This window comes from Homo sapiens, chromosome 14, assembly GCF_000001405.40.
Source record: "Homo sapiens chromosome 14, GRCh38.p14 Primary Assembly".
NCBI classification, from domain to species: Eukaryota; Metazoa; Chordata; class Mammalia; order Primates; family Hominidae; genus Homo; species Homo sapiens.
In genome coordinates, this window is record NC_000014.9 from 23871093 (window position 1) to 23892249 (window position 21157).

Genomic DNA, 21157 nt, shown 5'->3' on the forward strand with positions numbered 1-21157 from the left:
AACATTAAGAGAAATACCTAATGTAGATGATGAGCTGATGGGTGCAGCAAACCACCATGATACATGTATACTTACGTAACAAACCTGCACGTTCTGCCCATGTACCCTAGAACTTAAAGTATAAAAAAAAATTAAATGTGTCAAGATAATGAGAAGATAATCCAGAAACTGGGAGAAAATATTTACAATATACATATCTAATAAAGGATTTGTATTTTTAGATACAAATGTATTTTCTTATTGTTGAGTTTTAAGAGTTCTTTTTATACTAAAATATAAAAAGAACTCTTAAAACTCAACAATAAGAAAATAAATAACCTGATTAAAACATGAGCCAAAGACCTTAACAGACACCTCACCAAAGACGATATACTGATGGCAAATAAGCCTATAAAAAGATGCTCCATGTCATATGTCATCAGGAATATTCAAATTAAAACAAAAAGGTATTACCACTACACACCTATTAGAATGACCAAAATCCAGAACACAGACAACATCAAATGCTGGTGAGGCTGTAGTGCAACAGGAACTCTCATTCATTACTGGTGAGAATGCAAAATGGTACAGCCTCTTTGGAAAACAGTTGGGTAGTTTTTCACAAAACATAAACACTCTTATTACACAATCTAGCAATAACTGTTCTTGATATTTATCCAAAGGCGCTGAAAACTTATGTCCACTCAAAAACCTACACTTGGGCGTTTATTCATAACTGCCAAAATTTTAAAGTAGCCAAGATGTTCTTTAGGAGGTGAATTGATAAATAAACTGTGATATACAGTTTCCAGGCAATGGAATATTATTTAGTATTGAAAAGAAATGAGCTACAAAGCCACAAAAAAAAAAAATGGAGGAATCTTAAATGCATATTACTAAGTGAAAGAAGCCAATCTGAAAAGCTACCTACTGTATGATTCCAACTATATGACATCCTGGAAAAGGCAAAACAACATAGACAGTGAAAAGATCAGTGGTTGCCAGAGGTTTTAGGGGAGAGAGGAGCAAATAGGCAGAGAGCAGAGGATTTTTAGGACAGGAAGAAATATTCTGTGTGATACAGGCATACCTCAGAGATATGCGGGTTTGGTTCCAGAACAACATAATAAAGCTAATATCTCAGTCAAGGAAGTCACACAAATGTATTAGTTTCCTAGTGCATATAAAAGTTATGTTAATAGTATACTGTAGCCTATTAAGTGTGCAATAGCATTATGTCTTTTTAAAAAGTACATACCTGAATGTAAAAATACTTTAGTTCTAAAAAATGTTAACAAACATCTCAGCCTTCCATAAGTCATACTCTTTTTGCTGATGAAGGGAGGGTCTTCCCTTGATGTTGATGGCTGCTGACTGATCAGGGTGGTGGTTGCTGAACGTTGGGGTGCCTGTGGCAATTTCTTCAAACAAGTCAACAGTGAAGTTTGCCGCATCAGTGACCCTTCCTTTAACTAAATATTTCTCTGTAGCATGCAATGCTGTTTGATAGCATTTTACCTACAGGAACTTCTTTCAAAGTTGGAGTCATTGCTCTCAAATCCTGCTGCTGCTTTATCCACTAAGTTTACATAATATTCAAAATCCTTTCTTGTCAGCTGGGCACGGTACCTCACATCTGTAATCCCAGCACTTTGGGAGCCGATGCGGGTGGATCACCTGAGGTCAGGAGTTCGAGACCAGCCTGGCCAACATGGTGAAACCCCATCTCTACCAAAAATACAAAAATTAGCAGGGTGTAGTGGTGCACACCTGTAATTCCACCTACATGGGAGGCTGAGGCAGGAGAATTGCTTGAACCCAGGAGGCAGAGGTTGCAGTGAGCCAGGATCATGCCACTGCACTCCAGCCTAGGCAACAGAGCAAGACTCAAAAAAAATTATTTCTTGTCATTTCAAAGCATATTCACCCAAGGAATATGTTTCATCTCCAGAAACCATTTTCTTGGCTCATCCATAAGAAGCAACTCCTCATACATTCAAGTCTGATCATGAGATTGTGGCAATTTAATCATATCTTTGGGCTCCGCATATAATTCTAGTTCTCTTGCAATTTCTGCCACATCTGCTGTTCCTTCTTCCACTGAACTCTTGAACCCCTCCAAGTCATCCATGAGGGTTGAAATCAACTTCTTCCAAACTTCTGTTAATGTTGATATTTTGACCTCCTCCTGTGAATCACGAATGTTCTGAATGGCATCTAGAATAGTAAGTCCTTTCCAGGTTTTCAATTTACTTTGCCCAGATCCACCAGAGAAATCACTATTTTGGCAGCTGCAGCCTTATGAAATGTAATTTCTTAAATAATGAGACTTGAAAATTGAAATTACTTGTTGATCCATGTGCTGCAGTATGGATATTGTGCTAGCAAGCATGAAAACAACATTAACCTCCTTGTACATCTCCATCAGAGCTCTTGGGTGACCAGGTACATTGTCAATGAGCAGTAATATTTTGAAAAGAACCTTTTTTACTAAGCAGTAGATCTCAACATTGGGCTTAAAATATTCAGTAGGCCATGCTGTAAACAGATGTGCTGTGAACCAGGCTTTGTTATTCCATTTATAGAGCACAGGCAGAGTAGATTTAGGGTAGTTCTTAAGGGTCCTAGGATTTTGGGAATGGTCAGTGAGCACTGGCTTCAACTTAAAGTCACCAGCTGCATTAGCCCCTAACAAGAGAGTCAGCCTGTCCTTTCAAGCTTTGTAGCCAGGCCTTGACTTCTCTCTAGCTATGAAAGTCCTAGATGGCACCTTTTTTCAATAGAAGGCTGGCTTGTCTATCTTGAAATTCTGTTGTTTAGTGTAGTCACTGTCACCAATTCTCTTAACTAGATCTACATAACTTGCTGCTGCTTCTACATCAACACTTGCTGCTTCACCTCCCACTTCTTTTTTTTTTTTTTTTTTTTTTTTTGAGATGGGGTTTTGCTCTCATTGCCCAGGCTGGAGTGCAATGGTGCAATCTTGGCTCACCACAACCTCCACCACCCAGGTTCAAGCAATTCTCCTGCCTCAGCCTCCTAAGTAGCTGGGATTACAGGCATGTGCCTGGCTAATTTTGTATTTTCAGTAGAGACAGGGTTTCTCCATGTTGGTCAGGCTGGTCTCAAACTGCCAACCTCAGGTGATCCACCCGCCTTGGCCTCCCAAAGTGCTGAGATTACAGGTGTGAGCCGCTGCACCCTCACTTGCACTTTTGTTATAGAGATGGCTTCTTTCCTTGAACCTCATGAACCAACCTCTGCTAGCTTCAAACTTTTCTTCTGGAGCTTCCTCACCACTATCAGCCTTCACAGAATTGAAGAGAGGACCTTTCTCTGGATTAGGCTTTGGCTTAAGGGAATATTGTGGCTGGTTTGATCTCCTATCCAGACCACTAGAACTTTTTGCATATCAGCAATAAGTCTGTTTTGCTTTCTTACCATTCGTGTGTTCACTGAAGTAGCACTTTTAATTTCCTTCAAGAATTTTTCCTTTGTGTTTACAACTTGGCTGTTTGGCGCAAGAGGCCTAGCTTTCAGTCTATCTTGGCTTTCGACATGTTTTCCTCACTAAGCTTAATTATTTCTAGCTTTTGATTTAAAGTAAGAACATGCAATTCTTGCTTTCACTTGAACACTTAGAGGTCACTGTAAGGTTATTAATTGGCTTAATTTCAATATTGTTTTGTCTCAGAGATTGGGGTGGCCTGAGGAAAGGGAGAGAGACAAGAGAACAGCCAGTGACTGGAGCAGTCTGAATGTACACTTTATCAATTAAGTTTGCTGTATTACCGCATGTTCTCACTTCTAAGTGGGAGCTAAATGATGAGAACACATGGATACATAAAGGGAAACAACACGTGCTGGGGCCTTTCTGAGAGTAGAGGGTGGGAGGAGGGAGAGGATCATGAAAAATAACTAATGGGTACTAGGCTTAATACCTGGGTGATGAAATAATCTGTATAACAAACCACCATGACACAAGTTTACCTATGTAACAAACCTGAACTTGTACCCCTGAACTTACCATTTAAAATTTTTTTAAGTTTGCTGTATTACATGAGTGCAGTTTGTGGATCCCCAGGACAATTTCAACAGGACCAAAGATCACTGATCAGAGATCACCATAATAGATGTAATAAATAATGAAAAAGTTTGAAATATTGTGACAATTACCAAAATACAACAGAGATATGAAATGAGTACACGTTGTTGGGAAAATGGCTCCGACAGACTTGCTAGATGCAGGGTTGCCACAAACCTTCCATTTGTGAAAAACACAGTATCTGTGAAAAACAATAAAGTGAAGCATGACTACTTGAAAGTCAGTATCACTGGATATGAAACCCTTTGTTCACATTTTCTTTCTTTGTGTAAATGAAGCATAACTATATGTGGGGATGTTATTCTCCCCCACATATCTTTTTGGATAATAACTATATTTTTTTACTTTTAGATTCAGGAGGTACACGTGCAGGTTTGTTAGAAGGGTATGTTGTGTGATGCTGTGACGTTTGGGCTTCTATTGATCCTGTTGCTCAAAGAGTGAACACAGTACCCAAAAGGAAGTTTGTCAGCAATTCTCCCCCCTCCTGTCGTCACCTCTTTTAGAGTCACCAATGTCTATTGTTTCCATCTTTATGTCCATACGTACCCAATGTTTAGTTTCCACTTATAAGTAAGAACACGCAATACTTGGTTTTCTGTTTCTGCATTAATTCCCTTAGGATAATGGCCTCCAGCTGCATCCACATTGCTGCAAACAACATGATTTAATTCCTTTTTATGGTTACATTGTATTCCATGGCGTATGTGTATCACATTTTCTTTATGTTTTTGAATAATAACTTTAAATGACATTTGACTGTGATCTTTTCCTATACTAATTTTATGTGAATTTTGTTTTCCTGAATTTTTAGAAGGAAACATCGTTCATGATAAACTGTATAAGTTCAAACTGCCCCATAGTCCATGGTTTTATGCATTATTTAAAAATAAAATAGTCCCTTAAAATGTCCCGGCTCTATTCTCATTGCCCTACTTTTACCTGGCCCTCTCTTTCTTCATCCATGTTGCCCCCGCCCGGCTCAATTTTGCCTCCACTCCTGGCAATCTCTCCTCAATGTGGGACTCTGCCCTAGAAACAAACCTGTGCAGGTCCTTTTCAAAGTTCACAGGGTCTGGACAATGCCAGCCCCTTCATAGTCTACCAGGCACTCCTCGCAGTCACCCAACACTGGGCTGAACAAAGCCCCTCCCAGTTTCATCAGCTGTTTCCAAAGATGTCCACTGTGCTTGCCGGTGAACTATTGTCAGCTCTTTGGAATTCTCTCTTCTCAGATCCTTCATTGACACTGCCCCATTACTTCTGTCTTCTTTTCACACAGATGTTACTACCATGCAGGTCTTGTAGCTGTTGGGGATTTGTCACCAGTTCTATTTCGGGGTTTGTGGAGATGGCTTGTCATGGAGGTTTATAAATGTTTTCCATGGGCTTGAGGCTTTGCTATCCAGCTGCTCTGTTTTAAAGACAGAATTTGGGTTGACATCTTAGTGTGTTGGTTACATTGTTTAGAGCATGAGCTCATGAAACTTGACATGACAGTTGTATAAACCTATAAGGGCTCTTTGTCAGGATAAGAATGTGCCTGGGGCTTGTGTGCTTGGTTTCCAAGCCCTCGGCACTCCACAGAGCTACTGAGAGCGAAGCCCATGCTCCCAACATAGCAGATCTGCTATGGCCAGGCATGGTGGTTCATGAATGTAATCCCAGCACTTTGGAAGGCTAAGGCAGGAGAGAATTGCCTGAGGTCAGGAGTTCAATACCAGCCTGGGCAACATAGCAAGACCCCACCCCTGAAAAAAAATTTCAGTGGCCCATGCCTGTAGTCCTAGCCACTCAGGAGTCTGAGTTCTAGCTACTCAGGAGGATTGCTTGAGCCCAGAGGTTTGATATTACCATGAGCTATGATCATGTCACTGCACTCAGCCTGGGCAACACAGTGAAATCCGATCTAAAAAACAAACAAAAAAACATATTTGCTATTACTATGGGAGGAGTGGGAAACTCCTGCCCAAGACCAACCTTAGATCTAAATCTGAGTTTGGTTGCCACAAGGAAGAACAGCAATGCTGAGAAAGCCCCATCATTAAGGCCCAAGCACACAGAGAGGGCGTACCCAAGACTGAAACAGAACCAGGACAACAGATAATTTCCCCTGCCCTCACCACAAGCGTAGCACAAAATAATAAACTGTAGTAGTCTGCCACTAGGAAAGGGGAAAGAGAATGAAAAGAAAACCCTCTTTTGCACGAGCATATAGGGATGGCTAAATGCTGAAGGTGAAGTATGGAAACCGAGAAAAATCCTCTGACCTCAGCTTCAACCTTAAGCAGAAGGCAACAAAAGCACAGCACTAGAGGGATTTAACTCAGTGGTATAAAAAAAGTAAAGAGAGCAACAATAAAACCCAAGCTTAACTAGCTAGGTGTTGTGATGTTCATCTGTAATCCCAGCTACTCCGGAGGCTAAGGCACAAAAATCACTTGAACCCAGAGGTGGAGGTTGCAGTGAGCCAAGACCACGCCACTGCAGTCCAGCCTGTGAGACAGAGTGAGATTCTGTCTCAAAACAAAACAAAAACCCAAGCCTACCTCCATTTCTGACGAGATTGACTCAACCTCCCACACTGTCTAACAGAAGAAAAGGCATGTCTATTTCCATACATAAATACTATTTAACTTAGTGTCTACTGTTCTACACATTATGTTCACCATGCAATCAAGAACTATGAGACACACATATGTCAATTTAAATAATTCATTGCAAGGAGATAAAGCAATCAACAGAACCAAACTCAGAGATGACCTAGATGTTGAAACTATGAGACAAGTGCTTCAAAATAACTGTGACTAATACTTTTTTAAGGCCTATTGGAAAAAGTAGCTAGCATGCATGAGTAGATGGGGAATTTCAGCAGAGAGATGGAAACTATCCTCAAGAGTCCAGTAGAAATGTTAGAAATGAAAACATGACATCAAAGATGAAGAATTCATGCTAGGCGCAGTGGCTCACACCTGTAATCCTAGCACTTTGGTAGGCCAAGGTGGGTGGGTCATCTGAGGTCAGGAGTTTGAGACCAGCCTGGCCAACATGATGAAACCCCATCTCTACTAAAAATACAAAAATTATCCAGGCGTGGTGGCGTGTGCCTGTAATCCCAGCTACTTGGAAGGCTGAGGCAGAATCACTTGAACCCAGGAGGTGGAGGTTGCAGTGAGCCAAGATCACACCACTGCACCCTAGCCTGGGAGACAGAGTGAGACTCTGTCTCAAAAAAAGAAAAAAAAAAAAAGAACAGAACATCCACAAGTAGTGGGACAATATAATCTGTCTAACATATGTGTAATTGGCCAAAATGAGAAGACAGACAATAGAGCAGAAGAGAAATAGTTAACGCATAACAGCCAAGAAGTTTTTGAAATCAATAAAGATATCAAACCAGAGGTACAAGAAACTTAGAGAACCTCAAGCAAAATAAAAACAAATAAAACCACACACACACACACACACACACACACACACACACACTTACCCCTAGATAGATGACATTCAAACTTCTGTGTATCAAAGATAATAAGGAAATCATGGAGGCAGTCAGAGCTAAAAGAAATATTACATACAAAGGTTTTTAAAGAGAATTATAGTATATTCGCATTAGAAACAATTCAACAAACCTGTTAGTATTGCATTGAATCTGTAGACAAACTTAAGGAAAATGTATATAATACTGAGTCATCCAACCACAGACATAATACCTCCCTCCATTAAGTAAGATTTGTAATTTAAATAGACTTCTGCACAAAAGGCTTGCACATGTTGTGCTTTATTTATTCTTAATTATTTAATATTTTATGCTATTATTAATAGCATCTTTCTTTTTATTTTGTTTTCTACCTCTTTGCTGCTAATATATAATAATGTAAATTATTTTCAAATATGAAGTTTGTTCTGTCAACTTGTTAAATGTATTAATTTTGATAATTTATCTATAGAGTCTTTCGGATTTTCTAAATATCCAATCATCAGATGATCCATGAATGATAACACCTTATTTCTTCCTTTCCAATATTTATGCCTTTTACTCATTCTCTTGAATTACTACACTGGGTAGGATTTCCAGTATAACACTGAAAAGGTGTAGTATTTGTGGGCATTTTTGTCTTGTTCCTGAACTCAAAGGCAAACTTTTCAATGTTTCTTCAATTCCATGTGTTGGCACAGAATGTGAAGCAATGAGAACTCTTATATGCTGATGATAGAAGTATAAATTCATACAGCTATTTTATAAATAAAGTCATTAACTATTAAAGGTAAAGATATAATACTCTATGAGCTAAAAATTCCAATTCGGCCGGAAACTATAAAACTACTAGAAGAAAACATTGGGGAAATTGTCCAAGACATTGGTCTGGGCAAAGGCTTCTTGAGTAAGACCTGAAAACCACAGGCAACCAAAGTAAGAATGGGCAAACGGGATCACATCAAACTAAAAAGCTTCTTCACAGCAAAGGAAACGAATAGCAAAGTGAAGAAACAACTTATAGAATGGGAAAAAAATTGCAAACTATTCAACTGGCAAGGGATTAATAACCAGAATATATAGGGAACTCAAACCACTCAACAGCAAGAAAACAAGTAATCCAATTTTTTTAATGGGCAAAAGATGTGAACAGACCTTTCTTGAAAGAAGATATACAAATGGCCAACAGGTATGTGAAGAAAATGTGCAACATCATTAATCATCAGAGAAATGCAAACCAAAACCACAGTGATATATCATCTAAACCCAGTTAAAATGACTTTTATCAAAAAGACAATAAAACAACAGGTGCCAGTGAGGATGTGGGGAAAGGGGAATGCTCATACGCTATTGGTAGGAATATAAATTAGTACAGCCATTTCGGAAAACAATATGGGGGTTCCTCAAAAAACTAAAAATTAAGCTACCATATGATCCAGCAAATCCCACTGATGGCTATATATCCAAAAAAAAAAAAAAGGGAAATCAGTGTATCAAAGAGATATCTGCACTTCCATGTTTATTCACAAATAGCAAAGATATGGAATCAACCTAAGTAACCATCATTGGACGAATGGTGGTACACATACAACAATGAAATATTATTCAGCCATAAAAAGTAATGAAATCCTGTCATTTGCAACAACATGGATGGAACTGGAGGACATTATATTAAGTGAAATAAGCCAGACACAGGAAGACAAATATCACATGTTCTCACTCATATATGGGAGCTAAAGAGTCGATCTAATGGAAATAGAGAGTAGGTTGATGGTTACCAGGAGCTGGGAACTGTGGAGGTGATTAGAGGATGAAGAGGGGTTGGCTAACAGGTACAAAAATACAGTTAGATAGAAGGAGTAAGATCCAGTGGTAACACAATAGGGCAACTATAGTTAATAGTAATTTTTGTATATTTTGAAATAACTAGAGGAGTGAAATTGGAATGTTCCTAACACAAATAAATGATAAATGCTTGAGGTGATGGACACCCCAATTACCCTGATTTGATCATTATACAATGTATGTTTGTATCAAAATATCAAACCCCATAAATATGTAAAACTATTATGTAGCTATAAAAAATTTTTTGGCCCAGCGCGGTGGCTCACGCCTGTAATCCCAGCACTTTGGGAGGCTGAGGCAGGTGGATCACAAGGTCAGTAGATTGAAACCATCCTGGCTAACACAGTGAAACCTCATCTCTACTAAAAATACAAAAAATAAGCTGGGTGTGGTGGCAGGTGCCTGTAGTCCCAGCTACTTGGGAGGCTGAGACAGGAGAATGGCGTGAACCCAGGAGGTGGAGCTTGCAGTGAGCCGAGATGGTGCCGCTGCACTCCAGCCTGGGCGACAGAGCGAGACTCCATCTCAAAAAAAAAAAAAAAAAAATTTAGGAAATTTCAATTCTGGATATATGCCCAATAGAACTGCATGCACATATGCCCTAGGAGGCATGATAAGAATGTTTTATAGCAGCACAATTTATAGAAGTGCAATTTATATAACTGGAACAAGTTACATTTCTATCAACAGTAGAATGGATCAATTGTGGTACAGACATCAATGAAATATGTATTGGTTGTCTATCATACTACCCCAAAACTTAGTGACTTTTCATTGAGTTCACAATTTTATGGATCAGCAATTTAGACTGAATTCAGCTGGGGAGTTCTGGTCTCAACTGAGCTGCCTCATGCATCTGTGAGATTCTTTTAATTTCTGAGGGCTTAGCCCACACAACCAAGCTTACTCAGCTGTGTTCCACATACATCATTCTCCAGCAGTCTAGCCCAGCCTTTTTCATGTGGCTGAGGCAGGAGTCCTGAAATACAGAGCAGAAGCACACAGGCTGCTGGAGGCCTATGCTCAGAATAGGCGTGTGGTCACCCTGACCATATTCTATTGGCCAAAGGAAGCCACAATGCCAGCCCAGATTCCAGGGAAGAGAACTAGACCCCATTTCTTCATGGGAGGAGCTCTAAAGTCACATTGCAAAAGGCATGGGTATTGGAAAGAGTGAAGGACTGTGAGTGTTTCTTTAATCTACCACTGAAAACTGGGATTGAAGTGAAAAACAATAACCTGCTACTACACATAACAACATGGATGAATCTCATCAATAATGTTGAGTGAAATAAGCCAGGCTACACAGAATGCATACTGTATAATTCCTTTTATATAAAGTTCAAAAACAGGCAGAACTAAAGTGTAGGGTTTATAAATATATGCTTAATAAAGTATTTTTAAGTGGGAAATTAATCATCATAAATGTCAGGGTGCTAGTTACTTTGGGAGGATGATTGCCTTAAGATAATGGAAAGGCATCAGAAATTGAGCAACACACAGGGGCTTCTGGGTTCTTGGCAGTGTGCTTTCTTAACCTGAGTGGTAATGAGCTAGGCGCTCATTTTGAATCACTAAGTGGGAGATTTATGTTTTGTGCATTTTTCTTTGTCTTATATCTCATGATAAAAAATTAAATAATGTATGATACTGGCACAAGGACAAAACATGGACAATGGAATATAACAAAGAACTGAGAAAAAGTTTGTACCCATAATAAGAACTTGATATACAGTAAATCTTGCATCACAGTTGATTGACAAAAGGACAAATTGTTTACGAGATGATGTTGGAAAAACTGTCTCATTAGAGGTAAAAAATCAAACTGGATCCCTACTTACCAGAGTATATATACAAGGAAATCTCTAGAAGGATTAAAGACTTCAAGGCAAAAGATTATAAGTCAATGGTAAATATTGTGGGTTAATATCTTCCTAACAATACCAGGCAGGGAAGGACTTCTAAAGAACAGCAGAAGAACAAATCATAAGGCCAAAGCTGATTAAGTCAATTGCATCAAACTAAGAAAATTTATTCAAGGAAGTACAACATGATCAAAGTTAACAAACAGGTGACAAATTTTGTGTTATTTGCTATCCCTAATGTTTTTTAAAAACTAACACAGTATCTAAGATATACAAGAAGCTATTAAAATTAAGATTAAAAAGCAGAAAATCCAAAAGAAAAATGAACAAAGGAAATAAACAATTTGCAAAAAGAGGAAATCAAATAGGCTGGCAAGTATATAAGGAGAGGCCCAAACTGGCTATGAGAATAATTCAACTTTTTAAAATAACACGACATTACTTTATTATGCTGGCAAAAATTATAAAGCTGAACAATGCCAAGTATTAGCAGAAATGTGAGGACAGAAGTGTCCTCTTATGTTACTGGTGGGCATGTAGACAGGCGCAGCCACCCTAAAGAGCAATCTGACAGTTCTTAGTTCTATATCATTGTGCTTCATGACCATCAAGATCCACTTTTGGATGTGTACTGGAAAAAAAAAAAAAAAAAAAAACCTCACACTGTAGCTTACTTGAGTACCTGTATGAGGATGTTTATTCACACTGTGATGGAGAGGAACTGAAAGTGACCCAGATATCTATCTAGAATAAAGCAGATAGGAAAAATGTGGAGTACCATCAGCAGTTAGAAGCAACGACTACACACACCCAGAGTGTCATGCATTATGCTGAGTGAAAAAATAGGATCCATCGCACATATCAGTTATAAAAATGAATACAACATACCAAACAGACAATACACATTTTACAAGAATACATGCAAGTAATACCACATACATTAAACAGAAGGGTTTTCTTTAAAGGAGAAGGAGGCAAATGAAAGTGGAGAATGAGGCCTGTCATTCTCTAAGGGGCCTGTCTAAACCAATGACGGGGCATGCCATGAACTGAAGACTGTGTTTAACCCAACCCTGTATGTCCAAAAGAAGAAAAAGCTCAAATAAAATATTCCTCCATGGCTTTTTTCTCCATGGCAACTGCTGTTAATGTGTGTGTGTGTGTGTGTGTGTGTGTGTGTGTGTGTGTTGTACATTTCCTAGAAAAATGCTGAATGCATCTACTAGCATGTCTTTATGGCCATGTAATTCTCATTTACATCATATTACTCTGTACCCTGTTCTTTATGTTTCATAATATACTTTGGACATCTTTCCCTTTCAGCACTTACAAATCTACCTCACTTTTAAACAGCTGTATTATTTTTATATACTCCAATTTAATTTTCCTATCAATAGATACTTAAGCTTGGCTTTTTAAGTTGCTTGCTATTAAACGAGTTTGCTTTTTAAATTGTTCGCTGTTGCCATTCAAAAGACCACCACGATGGTTAAATAGCAGAAAGGAGAGCTTTATTGGTGATATTGGTTTGTAAGTTGGGAAGAGAAACCAGCAAACCAGCACGGACTGACGGTGGTCTCTCTTTGTAGGGGGAGGGAACAGCTTGGGTTTTACTCCTCATGGGTCTGTGTTACACAATAGAGCCATACATATTCAGCAGGTTTGGGGAAAAGCTATACATATTTATGAGGGGAGCTGAGCAAATGAGCAACGAGTAAACACACGTTACATACATCTCAAGTTTACTTTGAAACAGGGTTTTAGCACTGAAATGAGGTGGAATTTGGCTCTTTACATCAAAAGGTTAACCGTACGGCACAAAGACCGTTTGTCCACAGCCTCTATAAGCTGACTGAAACTGGCTTAATGTTTACAGTAGCTTATCAGAAAAGAGTGTTTGTAAGGCCAGTCCTCTGTCCAATCAGAATTACAGTAGTCTGGGTTATAAATCAGATTTAGGAGAGGTCCAATGGCTGCTATTGTTAGGAAGTTTAGAGTCCTGGGAATTTAGAAATTTGCCGTGCCAGCTGGGCTCTGAATGCTCCACTCGTAGGTAACTTTGTTTCCTTAACCTTAGAGTCTATCTTAGTTGATAAAGGGGCATTTATTTTGGGCTCTCAGATCACACTATTAAACCGTAGGGACCAAGGGAAAACTTCCCCTTTGCCCTCTGAAGGTTCACTGAAAATCAACTGACAAAAGGCAGACTTAAGGGAGGAAGGGCATACAAAATGTATTAACATGCGCATGTATTCACAGGAGTCATACAAAATATAAAACTCAAAGAGCCAGATTGTTGATGCTTTTATACCATCTTGAGGTTACAGAAAGAAAAGAGCTTGGAGCACCGCAATACAGGTTATGGGAGGTAGAGAAGAGGAAAGGCATGGCTACCAAAGGCAGTCTTATTAGGTAGATGAAACCTCGCAGGTAGCAGCTCTCAGAAAGAGTAGACGGTAGCCTGCGCTTGAGTTAATATTTCCTAGATCTGGACTAAAAAAGGGTGCCTCAGAGAAAGCCTAGCTTTATTTCACTAATGTAGATTTTTCTCTACAGATGAAATCTCCTCCAGAAAAGGCAGCTTTTCTGGGCTATTCTTGTCTGCAGGCCCTCTGAATAACCATCTTAAAATACATCTAAAATGTATATTTGGGAATAACATTTTTGTTTCCTTTAAAACAATGCCTCTGCAAATATTCTTGCACATACACTAATAGGAAATTTTATCAAGCATATTCACAATGTAAATCCCAAGCAATGAAATTTCTCAGTCAAAACAGTCAAAATACACATACACTTAAATATTTGATAGATGTTACCAAATTGCCTTCCCAAAGGTTGCAACAATACAAAATCTCATCAAAAAATCTGAAAGTACCTATTGCTCCATACTTTTTCCAGCTCTAGATAGTATAAAGGTTTTTTAAATTTTTTACCAATCTATAAGTTGAAAGATTCTATCTTACTGATGTTTTTATCTCCATATTTTAAATACGTGCAAGACTAAGTATATTTCCATAATTTTACAGGCCATTTATATTTTTCCTGTGAACTGTCTGTTCTTATAACATGTCTATTTTCTTCTGAGTTGTTTTACTTTCTCATTCATTTGCATGAGTTATTTTGCAAATTAAGGCAATTAGCCATTTTATCATATGTTCTGCAATTACATTTTCAGTCTGTCTTGTCTTTTGCCAAACAGAAGTTTTAAATTTTAACACAGTTAAATTTATCAATCTGCTCCTTTATGGCTTCTAGAGAATAAATATTTTAAATTTTATTTTGTGACTTGGAAGCTTAAGTGCTTTTCTGAGAGGATTGATTAGACTGAGGTGAAGCGGGAGGAGGAGAGTAATTGAGACAGTTGCAACTTAAAGGCAGAACGAAGACTTTAAATGAAGAGCTGGCAGAAGTGCTGGTGGCAACAGCCATAGCAGCCCAGCTGAGGCAACTTCCAGGGCAGTGGCATTCTGGTAGGGCCTGTTGGATCCTTCCACATCAAGGAAGTTCTTAGTGATACTGGTGAGCAGCCCAGGCTGGTCCTGAGCCTTGAGGTAACTATCAAGTGCTTTCTGGACATATCAGGGAAGGGAACTCCTCAGGGGAAGTAGACTTCATAATTATTTGGGTTTTGGAGAATACTGGAGAAATAATAGCTTTCTTTATTAAGTTGGCAAAACTGGTTACACTTGTAATATTAATCTCGCAGTCTGGTTTTCTCTACCATGGTTGTGAGAGAGATTAAGATTTTTTTTAATTATATTTATTTAAGTTCTCTTTTTTTCTTCTGTTTTCTATTTCACTTATTTCTGCTTTAATATTTATTATTTCCTTCCTTCTGCTAACTTTGGGCTTCATTTGTTCTACTTTTTTTAGTTCTTTGAGATGTAAAGTTGGATTGCTTATATGAGATATTTCTTTTTTCTTAATGTAAGCATTTATAGCTATAAATTTCCCTTTTAGAACTGCTTTTGCTACATCCCAAAAGTTTTGGCATGTTTTGTTTCCATTTTCATTTCTCTCAAGATTTTTTTGATTTTCCATTTTATTTCTTCTTTGACCTATTGGTCAGGAGTTGCATTGTTTAATTTCCACATATTTGTAAATTTTCCAATTTTCCTTCTGTTGGATAATCTAAAAGAAATGGATAGATTCCTAGCATTATATAATCTACCAAGAATGAATCATGAAGAATTTAAAAATCTGAATAGAGCAGGAACAAGTAAGTAATAAATAAATAAAGGAGACTAAATTAATAATTTTTTGTTTTGTTTGAGATGGAGTCTCACTCTGTTGCTTAGGCTGGAGTGCAGTGGCACGATCTGGGCTCACTGCAACCTCTGCCTCCCAGGTTAAAGCAATTCTCCTGTCTCAGCCTCCCAAGTAGCTGGGATTACAGGCATGCACCACCACGCCCAGCTAATTTTTGTATTTTTAGTAGAGACGGGGTTTCGCCATGTTGACCAGGCTGGTCTTGAACTCCTGACCTCAGGTAATCTGCCCACCTCAGCCTCCCAAAGTACTAGGATTACAGACGTGAGCCACTGTGCCCAGCCTGAATTAATAATTTTTAATAAAACCTCCCAACATGAGATTTAAGCTTACTTCTTGAAAAAAAAAAAATCTCCCAACAAACAGAATTCCAGGACCAGCTAGTGTCACAGGTGAATTCTACCAAACATTAAAAGAAGAATTAATGCCAATCCTACTCAAAATTGTCCAAAAAATTGAAGAGGAAAAAACTCTTCCAAACTCATTTTATAAGACCAGCAATACTCTGACACCAAAGCCAGATAAAAACACTGTAAGAAAATAAAATTTCAGACCCATATCCCTGATGAACATAGATGTAAAAATACTCAACAAAATGCTAGCAAACCACATTGAACAGCCTACTAAAATGATCATTTACCATGATCAAGAAGGATTTATCCTTGGGATGTGAGAATGGTTCAACACATACAATCAACAAATGTGATACACTATGTTAATAGAATGAAAACTAAAAATCATATGATCACATCAATAAATGCAAAAAAAATGCATTTGATGAAACACAACATCCTTTCATGGTAAAAACTATTAACAAATTAGGTATAGAGGGAATGTGCCTCAACATACCAAAGGCCATATATGACAAGCCCACAGCTAGTATCATACTCAACAGTGAAAAGTCAAAAGCTTTTCTGCTAAGATTAGGAATAAGACAAAGATGCCCACTCTCATCATTTCCATTCAACGTAGTACTGTAAGTCCTAGCCAAGCAATGAAGAAGGAAGGAAGGAAGGAAGGAAGGAAGGAAGGAAGGAAGGAAGGAGATAGAAAGGAAGAAAGAAAGAAAAGGAAGAGGAGGAGGAGGAAAGGGAGGAGGAGGAGGAAATGAAGGAAGGAAGGAAGGAATCAAAATAGGAAAGGAAGAAGTAAAATTGTCTCTGTTTGAAGATGACATGATTTTATATAAGAAAACTCTAAAGACTCCACCAATAAACTATTAAGACTAATCAACAAATTCAGTAAAATTGCAGCTACAGAATCAACACCAAAAAAATTAGTTGCATTTCTATACACTAACAATGAAATATCTGAAAAAGAAATAAAGAAAATAATTCCATTTATAATAGCATCGAAAACAATAAAATACCTAGGAATAAATTTAACCAAGGAGGTGAAAGACTTGTACACTGGAAACTATAAGATACTGATGAAAGAAATTGAAGAATATACAAATAAATGGAAAGATATTCCATGTTCATGGATTGGAAAAATTAGTATTGTGAAAATATTCACGCTACCCAAAGCAATCTACAAATTCAATCAAATTCCTGTCAAAATTCCAATTGCATTCTTCACAGAAATAGAAAGGACAATTTTAAAATTCGTATGGAACTACAAAAGACCCCAAATAGCTACAGTAATCTTGAGAAAGAAGAGCAAAGCTATAGGCATCACATTTCCTGATTTCAAAGTATATTACAAAAGCATTGTAATCAAAACAGTATGGTACTGACATAAAAACAGATAAATAGATCAATAGAACAGAATCAAGACCCCAGAAATAAACCCACACATATACAATCAGTTAATATTTGACAAAGGTACTAAGAACACACAATGGGGAAAGGATCATCTCTTCAATAAATGGTGCTGGGAAAACTGAATGTCCACATGCAAAAGAATAAAATTGGGCCTTTATCTTACACCACTCACAAAAATTAACTTGATTTGAATTAAAGACTTTTAAATGTAAGATCTGAAACCATAACAATTCTAGAAAAAAATAGAAAAAAAAGTTGCTTGGCATTAGTCATTGCAATTACTTTTTGGATATGACACCAAAAGCAAAAGTAACCAAAGCAAAATAAATAAGTAACTACATCAAGCTAAAAAGTTTCTGCACAAAAAAAAGAACAATAAAACAAAAAGGCAACTTACCGAATGGGTGAAAATGTTTGTAAGCCATATATCTGATAAGGGATTAATATCTAAAATATACAAAGAAGTCATACAACCTAATAACAAAAACTTATAATCCAATTTTAAAATGGGCAAAGAACCTGAATAGATATTTCTCCAAATAATGCATACAAGTGGCTAACAGCTACATGAACAGGTGCTCAACATCTCTAATCACCAAGGAAATGTAAATAAAAACCACAATGAGATGTCACCTCTCATGTCAGGATGACTGTTATCAAAATAGACAAAAGATATATGTTAGTAAGGATGGAGAGAAACAGGTACACTATTAGTGGAAATGTAAATTGATATGGCCATTATGGAAAACAGTATGGAGTTTCCTCAAAAATTAAAGCTAGAATAACCATATGATCTAGCAATCTCACTTCTGAGTATATATGCAATGGAAACGAAATCAGTAGCTCGATGAAATACCCGCCCTCCCATGTTCATTTCAGCATTACTCACAATAGCCAAGACTTGGAAACTACTAAGTGTCAATCGATGGATAAATGCATAAAGAAATTGTGGTGTGTGTTTATATATATGTGAGTGTGTGTGTATGACAAATATTCAGCCATTAAAAAAGGAAACACTACCATTTGTGACAACATGAATCAACCTGAAGGACAACATGTTTAATGAAATAAATGATACAGAAAGACATATACTGTATGATCTCACTTATATGTGGAGTCTAAAAGAGTTGAACTTATAGAAACAGAGAGTAGAATAATGGTTGCCAGCGATGGGGGTTAAGGAGACATAGGGAGATGTTGATCGAAGAGGACAAACCTTCAGTCATAAGATAAACAAGTTCTGGAGAGTTAAAATACAGCATGGGTGGTGACAGATGTGTTAATTTGATTTTGATAATTATTACACAATGCATTTATATATAAAATCGTCACATTGTACACTTCGAATGTGAGATACACAATCTAAATTGTCAATTAAATATTTGAAAATAAGAGAAGAAAAAATGATTGAAAAAAATCAGCTGTTGAACTTTGCAGTTTGGGTGATACTGAGGTTTTCCAGTGAAGGGCAGTGACAGAGCAGCCACGTTGGCAATTTTTTTAGAAAGCTTTCTGTCCTGTGCGGCAGTGAGATGCAGAACTGTGGTCATTTGGTTGCATCCGTTCTCAATATTTAATGTAAGATAAAAGAGGGTATTGATAAATGGCAAGCACTGCATTGCACAAAAGGAGGGAGGGTAGGCTGCCGATGTCAGTATATCCCCCTGGATTTTCCTCCCTAACCTTCCCTGATAAACAACTGACTCCCTGACAGTAGTGAACATGCTCGACAGGGGCAATAGAAAATCAGGAGCAAACTTTCATGCCCAGCAGCTGCCCCACAAGAGCTTTACTCTTCTAAATGTTAAAAAAATTTGAATTATGTAAGCTAGAAGTGAATGTACTGTGAACTTCTTTCAATTTCTTGTAATTCTCTCGCTGACAAGATTTATGGGAAAGAACTGCAGTCATCTAGATCACTTCAGTGCACTAATACAAAAAGTTGTGCTAGGAACTAAATTTTGTGTGCCCCCAAAATTCATATGTGAAAGCTCTAATCCCCAATGTGATGGTATTTAGAGGTGGGACCTTTGGGAGATAATTAAGTCATGAAGGTGGAGCTCTCATGAATGGGATTACTGCCCTTATAAGAAAAGACACAAGCTGGCTGGGTGCAGTGGCTCATGCCTGTAATCCTAGCACTTTGGGAGGCCGAGGCAGGAGGATCACTTGAGCTCAGGGGCTCAAGACCAGCCTGGGCAACATAGTGAGACCCTATTTCTATTTAATTTTTTATGAAAGAAAGAAAAGAAAGATAAGAAGAAGAAAGAAAGAAAGAGAGAGAGAGAAAGGAGGGAAGGAAGGAAGGAAGGAAAAGAAGAAGAAGGAAAGAAAGAGAGAGGGAAGGAGGGAAAGAAGGAAGGGAGAGAGGAAGGAAGGAAGGGATAAAGAGAGAGAAAGAAAGATGAAAGAAAGAGAGAGAGAGAAAGAAAGAAAGAAAGAAAGAAAGAAAGAAAGAAAGAAAAGAGAAAGAAAGAAACAAAGAAAGAAAGAGAGAGAAAGAAAGAAAAAGAAAGAAACAAAGAAAGAGAAAGAAAGAAAGAAAGAGAGAAAGAGAGAAAGAAAGAGAAAGAGAGAAAGAAAGAGAGAAAGAGAGAAAGAGAGAAAGAGAGAAAGAAAGAAAGAAAGAAAGAAAGAAAGAAAGAAAGAAAGAAAGAAAGAAAGAAAGAAAGAGAAAGGAGAAAGGCAGGCACAGGAGAGATGACTGCTCTTCCTCACCATCATACAAGGATACAAGCAAGAAGGTGTCCTTCTACAAATCAGGAAGAGGACCCTCACAAACTACAGTTTATTATAGAAGCTGAAGGCAAAGGACAGGCATTTGAGGGGCAAGATTACATCCCTTAATATACCGGCCACTCCCTGGTCTCTGACCAAGTCTCTCTTAGAGCAAAACAAATATAACCTTAATATTTGGAGGAGCCAGTAAGGGATAGAAATATATTACAAGAAACAGTTAATCCATCCTATAAAGCCATTGCATACAATTGATATATTAATACTGATTTGGTTACATTTCCCCCCTTCATCTACCACTATTTGTATCTTGTGATAAATTTGTGCAGAACTATTTAACATAAAAATTAGCTTATGATTAGCTAACTCCAGTTCTTCCACAAGGCAGTCATTTTCCATCAACATTACATTCTAAGGAGCTTTAACCCCATTTCCCAATGAGAGGTGACAGCGTGCTGGCAGTCCTCAGAGCCCTCGCTTGCTCTCGGCACCTCCTCTGCCTGGGCTCCCACTTTGGCGGCACTTGAGGAGCCCTTCAGCCCACCACTGCACTGTGGGAGCCCCTTTCTGGGCTGGCCAAGGCTGGAGCCCACTCCCTCAGCTTGCAGGGAGGTGTGGAGGGAGAGGCGTGAGCGGGAACCGGGGCTGCGTGCGGCACTTGCGGGCCAGCTGGAGTTCCGGGTAGGCGTGGGCTTGGCGGGCCCCGCACTTGGAGCAGCGGGCCAGCCCTGCTGGCCCTGGGCAATGAGGGACTTAGCACCCGGGCCAGCGGCTGCGGAGGGTGTACTGGGTCCCCCAGCAGTGCCAACCCACCGGCGCTGCCCTCGATTTCTCACCCAGCCTTAGCTGCCTTCCCGTGGGGGCAGGGCTCGGGACCTGCAGCCCGCCATGCCTGAGCCTCCTACCCACTCCAAGGGCTCCTGTGCGGCCCGAGCCTCCCCGACGAGCACCACCCCCTGCTCCACGGCGCCCAGTCCCATCAACCACTCAAGGGCTGAGGAGTAGGAGCACACGGCGCGGGACTGGCAGGCAGCTCCACCTGCAGCCCTGGTGGGGGATCCACTAGGTGAAGCCAGCTGGGCTCCTGAGTCTGGTGGGGATGTGGAGAGTCTTT

At 38.7% G+C, this 21157-nt stretch overlaps 1 long non-coding RNA gene across 1 annotated transcript in view; it reads right to left on the minus strand.

Annotated features, from left to right (window-relative positions):
- Window positions 1-21157, minus strand: part of LINC00596 (long intergenic non-protein coding RNA 596) — a 95219-nt gene that overhangs the window by 32370 nt on the left and 41692 nt on the right. The gene's annotated exons all lie outside the window — the stretch shown is intronic.